The following is an 8,226-nucleotide window of genomic DNA, read 5'->3' as shown; positions in this document are numbered from 1 at the left end:
GGCAACCAAAAGAAAACAAATGGGAATAAAGGATGTAGTTATTGCTGTAACTCCAATTCTGAGGCAAGATCCTGGAAATAAAGAGTGAAATGACTTTCTCCATGTGTACATATATATTATAGTAGAAGCATAAATTATTGCTTTTATCCTGAAGAATGACAAAATCCAGATTAATCAAAGGAAGATAAATAGACTATACTGGATATAATTTATTAAGGCTGGAAGATATAAAAATTTTGTTTTAGGAAGGAAGGTTTCAATAATTCTATATTTCAATTAATCCATATATCTCATTAAACATGTATCCCCATTAATTAAAGTTTAACTGTTACATGTTTAGAAAGCAGGAATCAAATTATCAAGTAGAAGCATCACATTGTCATAGAGAAAAGTATCTTTTCGTTTAAGAATTAGTACATAAAGCTAACAACTGCCATTCCAGGAGACATAGGAAAATTAAATACAGTTTGGCACCCATCCTCACTTATACCCTGTACAGAAAAAAATTAAAGTAATAAAAAGAATGTCAGCGGCACAGATGCCAGGATCATCCATATTTATCTTCCTTCTTGTATTTGACCACCTATCAGTGCAAACAGCCCTCAGTAAAACTGAATTGGTTTATCAATATTCTCAGCAAAGCATATTTGGTTTCATCAATATAAGATCTATTGCCACCAACAGATCTTGAGAGTCTGGTCTCCTGGCCTGGGAACTTCACCTCTCTTAGAGAGCTGCCACACAGAATGAATGAAAAACATGTTATCTAGAACAGTTCTATACATTAGATAAAAAGAAAAAAGAAAAGTGAATGAATGAAAGTGGTTCCTTGGTGGCACTTGATAAAATAATGTAGAGTTAATAAATGAATTAATAGGGAAGGTAGAGCCTTCATTTTTTATTTTTGGCTTAGTAATAACAAGAGACCCTCAGGCGCTTAAGGAGCACTGTATTAGTCTGTTCTCACGCTGCTATGAGGAAATACCCAAGACTGGATAATTTATTTAAAAAAAGAGGTTTAATTGACTCACAGTTCTGCATGGCTGGGGAAGCCTCAGAAAACTTACAGTCATGGCAGAAGGCTCCTCTTCACAGGGCAACAGGAGAGACAATAAGTGCCAGCAGGGGAAATGCCAGGTGCTTATAAAACCATCAAATCTCGTGAAAACGTACTCACTATCAGGAGAAAAACATGGGGGAAGCCGCCCTCATGATTCAAGCACCTCCACCTGGCCTCACCCTTGACACGTGGGGATTATTACAATTCAAGGTGAGATTTTGATGGGGGTAAAGAGCCAAACCATATCAAGCACCAGGGCATTAATTTGTAAGTAGCTCTTAGGACATTCCTAAGAGCTTAACTCACTCTCAAGGAGAACTCACTGACTCATGCATTCATTCACATATTCATTCATTGAGTTCTCTTTAATTTTGTATTTAGGTGTACCTTTAGATGTACTTCAGTATTTCAAAAGTAGGACAATTGACTTATCCACTTTTCTACGTATTCTATTGACTTTTTTTTCAGTGACTGCAAACTCTTCAAGGATTTCGTTCTTGTAAGACACTTAGAAGATCTCTGTTCACTCTCCAACCTTCATAAAATTATTAAAAATACTTTTAAAAAGTTCCTCATTTTAAATTTCACAATGTTTTCATTCTTTATTTTTCCATTAAAAAGGTTATTTATACTTTATAGCAGTGGTGTTCACAATCACGTGATAATGGAAGAAACTGCAATACGCCTTAAAGAGTCAACATTGTCTGCTGAATCTTTGAAGTTAAGAAATTTGGAAGCTGAAACATACAAAAGATACCTAAGATGCTTCAGCTTCCACCAGCATGCCAATGACTCCCAGAGCTCTATCTGCAGCCCAGCCTCTGTTCTGAGCTCCAGGCTGGATAAGGAGCTGGTTTCCTGACACTATTACTCTAATGGTATAGAGGTCTGCAAGGCTTCAAATGCTCAGCATTCAAGTGTGTGCATGTACACACACACACACACATGCATGCTTGCCATTTGCCATCATTAATTCATAAAATGGAATTTAAGAGTGGGCCTTTGTGTGAGAAGTGAGCCAAGTTCTCAGTCCAGAGATATACTTGGGAGGTGTCTCAGCACATGTTTTCTTCCATGCTTGTTTCTGATGCTAACCAATGTTGCAAATGGCAACTGACAATTCCAGACCCTCCTAGATGCCTGCAGAACACTTAGGTCCTGTCCTCATTATTCTCTCTCCTTGTTGACTATCATTTAAAGAAGCAATGATGCTACATACTTACATTAACTGATGAATAAACAGACAGAGGTTTTTTTGAGGAACCTTGGGTAACGGTTCTGTAGAAACTATATACTTGACCTAAATAATAAAACTGGTTGGTTGGTGACCTTAGAGGTATTTTCTCCTCTTTTTAGTTCACCAGCTTCTGAGTCTCCTTGTTTGTGACGCACGTCAGACCATCAACAGTTAGGCAAAGATGGTAAGATATTATAGTACAAAGAGACTGACAGACTGCTAAAGCTACCACGAGTTAGGACTTATCTCTGATGAGTGTGTATGGTATTCCTGCTATAACAAGACAATTTGAGTGGGAACTTTTCAGTTACATATAACAAATCCCTTTTGTTTAAATGACTGGTATTAAGGTGATTAGCACTGTTCCTTTTGTTTTAACAACTTATATGATGAGAAAGGAACCCTCATGATCTGGAGGGGAGGGAATACAGCGAGTAAGTCAGACTGTACAACCTATGCATAATAGAAGCCCCTCAGGAGGTCACAATGATTACACATTGCTCCATTAATTTGTAGGTAGGCTGAGGAAGATAAGGGACATTCCCAAGAATTTAACTCACTCTCAAGGAGAATTTACTGACTCATTCATTCATTCACTGAGTTCTCTAATTTTGAGATTTAACATGGCCACAGTCACTTATCATCTTCCTCTTCAAACGTCCTGCTACTTTTCCTATTCCCATCTCTCCATGACTGGTACCATCTGCCCAACCACATCCAGATGTCCTGCCTTTTCTAAATCCTACTTAGGTTTCCTAGCCTGAGTTCTGGGGTCAGATGTAGGAGTTGAAAGTGGATATTTAGCAGGTGAGGCAAGTTGAAAGATGGAACAGCCTACCATGGAGGGGGCAGGTGGAGTTAGGAGGCAGGTAACTGGTAATGAACTGTGCCCTTCAAAGAGACTCTAGTAGTGAGCTAAGCATTTCTGGCCTATATGGGTGGACGATGTACGTCTGGAGGAGATCCAAACTGGCCTCCCACTCCACAGAGACAAGAACTGACTGAAATGCTTTTTTGTACAGCTTCTTGGTACACCAGAGGGTATCAGGAAGTCCTCCTGGAGATTTGTAATTGCTACGAGCATTGGCTGGCGGCTGAGAGGCTAGCAGTGAGAACTGCAAGGTGTCATATTAGACACAGGGCCACCAAAGTCCTTAGGAACTCTACAGTTCTGAACAAGCCATGTTATCCAGCCAAGCCGCAGATACAGGAATTGAATGCAGGCCTCTCCAGCCACTGCCACCGTCTTCCACCCTGAGGAGAGTAGCCACCAGAACATGTGACCTTGAGGAGTATGAAGGTCAAAGCTGGCATGCTGAGTTCAAATTGAGGCACAAATTAAAGAAACAAGGTGGCAAGTGGAAGGCAGAAAATGGGAAAATGGGGCAAGGAATCAAGGCACCAGAAAGTCAAAACCAAGAAGGGGCAGAGTTGCTCTGGATGGATTCTGAAGACTAAGTATAAATGTCTATGGGCTTTTTTATCTGCTCCTAACATTCTCTGATGTGGGCAAGCCAAGATTATTCAAATGGTTAGGACAGGGATCAAGAGCAGCAAACTGAAGGTGGTTCATGCCTGAGATCACAATTTTCACTGCAGAGTAACAGGTAAGTTCAACTGCTGAGAGAGAAAGCAAGCGAGAGAGAGAGAGAGAGAGAGGCAGAGACAGAGACAGGGACACGTATGGGTCAGGGACTCATAGAACTGTTTAGGTCTGAGACAGCCACTGTGGGAGTGGAGAGGGAGCTGACTGAGGACACACAAGCACTTCCTAGCAACGCTGTGGGCCCATTTGAAGCTGGAGACCACACATTTGTTGTAGCACCATTACACCTGAGTTTGTGGTTTTCTTGTATTGAGCAGTTTTAGAAGCAGCAGCAGATTGCAAGAGTGATACAAGCTTTGGCATTAACAAAGCAAATGCAGTGGTTACACAATAAGTTAAGGGAGTAAGGGAGAAGCAAATGAAATCATTCACTGGGTACATCTAGGTTGGAAAAGAAAGGAAGGTATGATTGTTAATTTTGTGTGTCAACTCGGCTGGGCCACAGTGTTAGATATGTGGTGAAACATAATTCTGGATATTTTTGTGAGAGTGCTTTCAAATGAGATGAATATTTAATGAGTGGACTTTTAGGAAAACAAACTGTCCCCCATGATGTGGGTGGGCCTCATCCAACCAGCTGAAGGCCTGAATAAAGATTGAACTCCCCTAAACAAGAAGGAATTCTGCCAACAGACAGTCTTTGTATTTGAACCACAACACTGGATCCTCCCTGAGTCTCCATCCTGCCAGCTCATCTTGCATATTTTGGACCTCTCAGCCTTGGTAATCATGTGAGCCAATTCCTGAAAATAAATTTCTCTTTTACTTCTATACACATCCTATTGATTCTGTGTCTCTAGAGAACCCTGACTAAAACAGAAGGTAAGTACGTAGAGAGGAGAAGGACAAGGTGACGGGACATCAAGGCACCAGAGTCCTGAACAGCACATTCAGTGAAGGTAATGGAATGTGGGAAGGATGAAAATTACTACACTCACTGTTAGGAGAGTTTCACATTTCAGATGAAGAGTGGATTTGAATGAGAACAAAACCAGAGGTGTAGAGGTAGAGAACTTGGAAACTGAACAGGCCTTTGAGACGCAGGCATTGGATGGGCTGTCCACATGCACATGAAAGCAGTGCATCAGGCTTGAGCATGAGTTTGAAGCAGAGAGAGAAGAGAAAAGATTGCAAGCCAGGATGTCAGCAGACAGGGAGGGCTGCCTGGTAAAATTCTTCGATATCATCTGCAGCAAATGTCTAACTCCTTCGCATGGCATGAGTGCTCTGCATAACCTGGCCCTTTGTACCTTCCAGCTCAACTTTTCTCAGTCCAGACCAGCGAGTCATCAGCCACGCTGACCTTGTCTGTGGTCTGGAAGCTCTCATCATGCAACTTCTGCACATTCCATTCTTCTTGCCTGGCATTCTGCTCCTGGCCCCAACCATCTCTATATATACTGAAGGCTTCAAATAAACCCAAAAAGAATTCTCAATTTGATAAACATTCCTAATATACCAAAGGCCATCTGGGTAATTGTCTCCTAAAGGTTAGGAAAAGTTCATCCTATCCTTAGTAATTAGTTGTTCCTTAAATAAAGCAACCTTCACTTTTCTTGGAATTGTAGTTTCTACAAATCCTTTAAAAAGTTTCAGGCTACTCAATCTCAATCACATCCCAGTATTTGAGCATTGTGGATTCAATACAGGTAGCATAAGATAATCGTATTAATTACTTGCAGAGATGATGATAAGCCTGCAGCAGGTGACAACGAGTGGACTCACCTCCAAGCTCTTCATTTTTTGCATACCTGTGTCCATTGCCATCTCTCTGCCAGATTTCCAGTTTCAATGTTTAGTGCAAATATATGCTTTTTGCACTGACTTCTTGTACTAGTCTTGATTTTCTTCCTATAGCCTTTCTTGAACTTAGTATGTGATTTTAAAATTGGTGAATAATATATGAGCCTGGTTTTAATGTTTAAAGTATGAGGCAGTTCAATAAACAGATGAGGAGATAGATGCTCCTCAATTACATTGATTCATGGCTTTCCAACTGATAACTAGATCAGAGACTTTGGCAACAAAATTCAAGGAATGAGGCATTACATAAATAAATTTTTTCCTTGGCTGAGAAAAATTTACCCCTTGGACTCATTTTCTTCCCTCCATAATAATTGTATGGGGATGGGGACAGACGTTAGGGGACTGGAGCAACTCCACAGCAAGAGGCTACCCTCACGTGTTTGTTCATCTTCCCAAACCACTGTCACCAAGTTCTCCCTAGTGATACAGAGAGCATCATTACACAGTTCCACCTGTGGATAGTCTTCAACAGGTGACCCTTCTTTTTACAATTAAGCAAGCTGAAGTTCTTCATGGCAGAAATATGATTTCTTTTATGATTATGAAAAGTATGATTATTTTCTTCCTTAAACTAATTGTTTTCTTCCTTAAACTAAATTCGGCTTCCTTCTTCCTTCCTTAATAAACTTCTCATTCACCGTGAAATTGAAAACACAGCCTTTTCCTGATGACCAGATGGCCCAGCAAATTTAATCACTTCAAGCACTCCACACTTCCTCTCCACTACCCTCCATCCATGGTGGGGAAATGAAGAAGCAAATTCCTCATTTCTTCCAGATGCCAACCTCTCTTGTGAACTTCCCCCAACCACTATTATAAAAGCCAGATATACATGAGCAATGAAGTTGAAGAAAGAAAATATTTCTTTTTTTTTTTTTTAAGGCAGATTCTCGCTCTGTCGCTCAGGCTGGAGTGCAGTGGTGCGATCTCAGCTCACTGCAAGCTCCGCCTCCTGGGTTCAAGCGATTCTCCTGCCTCAGCCTCTGGAATAGCTGGGACTACAGGTGCGTGCTACCACACCCGGCCAATTTTTTGTATTTTTAGCAGAGACGGAGTTTCACCGTGTTAGCCAGGATGGTCTCCATCTCCTGACCTCATGATCCTCCTGCCTCGGCCTCCCAAAGTGTTGGGATTACAGGCGTGAGCCACTGTGCCCGGCCGGCCTAAGTATTTCTTTAAAGCTATAAAATAAAACAAATCTTCCAAATGAGGGAAATGGTAAATAAATAAAATAAGTCAAAATTATATTCTTGATTAATGTTTAATTCAACAAGAATGCCACTCAAATTCATTCTAATTTATCTGGAATACTTGTTTGAATTAAAATGTCCTTTCAAATTCATATCTAGTACTCCAGAAAGTAAAGCAAATAAATTTTGATGGATAATGTAGGGCAATGAGTATAGAGTCTTCCCCACATCAATTGATATCCACTTAATACTGTGGGCTCTTCCAGCTAATAAAGGCTTGTCCTGACTTCCTGAATATGTTTTCCTTTGATGGTCTTACCTAGGCAAATTTATTGAAGTTTCCAAACCTGTTTGTTCCACCTGGAAAAAATGAGGCCTTTCGACTTATGAAAAAATATGGGGAAAGAAGTCATGTTGGTAAAGTATTTTCAAGCACAAATAAATTAACTACACAAAGAGGAAATTATTCCCATAATTTGTTCTCGCATATCATCAGGAAATCAATCCCCTCCCCTTTCTCAAACCAATTTTGGAGATGGTGACTAATCTTATTTACATGGGGACTGATAACTCCTTCATTTACTGCTTAAATAACAGCATGCTAGAGTGGCTATGAACTGTTAAGGAAAATTGGTTTGCAATAAGGATCTTTATTAACAGAGTTGTTCAGTGAAACCAAAACTGAAGTGGCAGCATCTATTCTGCATTTGGAAAAGATGCTATTAGAAAATGCACAAGCGGCGAGGGGCAGTGGCTCACATCTATAATCCCAGCACTTTGGGAGGCCATGGGGGGGCCCATCGCTTGAACTCACGAGTTCGAGACCAGCCTGGGCAACATGGTGAAACCCAGTCTCTACAAAAAATACAAAAAATAGTCAGGTATGGTAGTACACGCCTATAGTTCCAGCTACTAGGGAGGCTGAGGTGGGAGAATAGCTTGAGCCTGGGAGGCAGAGGTTGCAGTGAGACCTTGTCTCAAAAAATAGAAGAAAGAAAATGCACAAGCAAGTCACATACACACTTGTTTCTAAAAGCTGAAGACACTAAAGCATTCTAAAAAGCATGGCAATAAATCCATCATTCAGAAACAAAAGTGGATTATACAGGTTCCAGCCTAAATGTTTACATGGCATATTTTCCCATCCTTTCAATACTCATTTTATAAAAAGAAATTTGACTAAAGAGTTCCTGTGTCCAACCCTTTTCTAATAATAAATGGTTATTATGAATCTTCATTTTGATAATTCACTGTAAACCGTTATTAATCAGAAGCCTCAGATAGATATAAAAAGATTGTTTCTATGAAAATTCCTCACCACAAAAGA

The sequence above is a fragment of the Homo sapiens genome, chromosome 14 (genome assembly GCF_000001405.40).
Source record: "Homo sapiens chromosome 14, GRCh38.p14 Primary Assembly".
NCBI lineage: Eukaryota > Metazoa > Chordata > Mammalia > Primates > Hominidae > Homo > Homo sapiens.
This window is presented reverse-complemented; position numbering follows the sequence as displayed.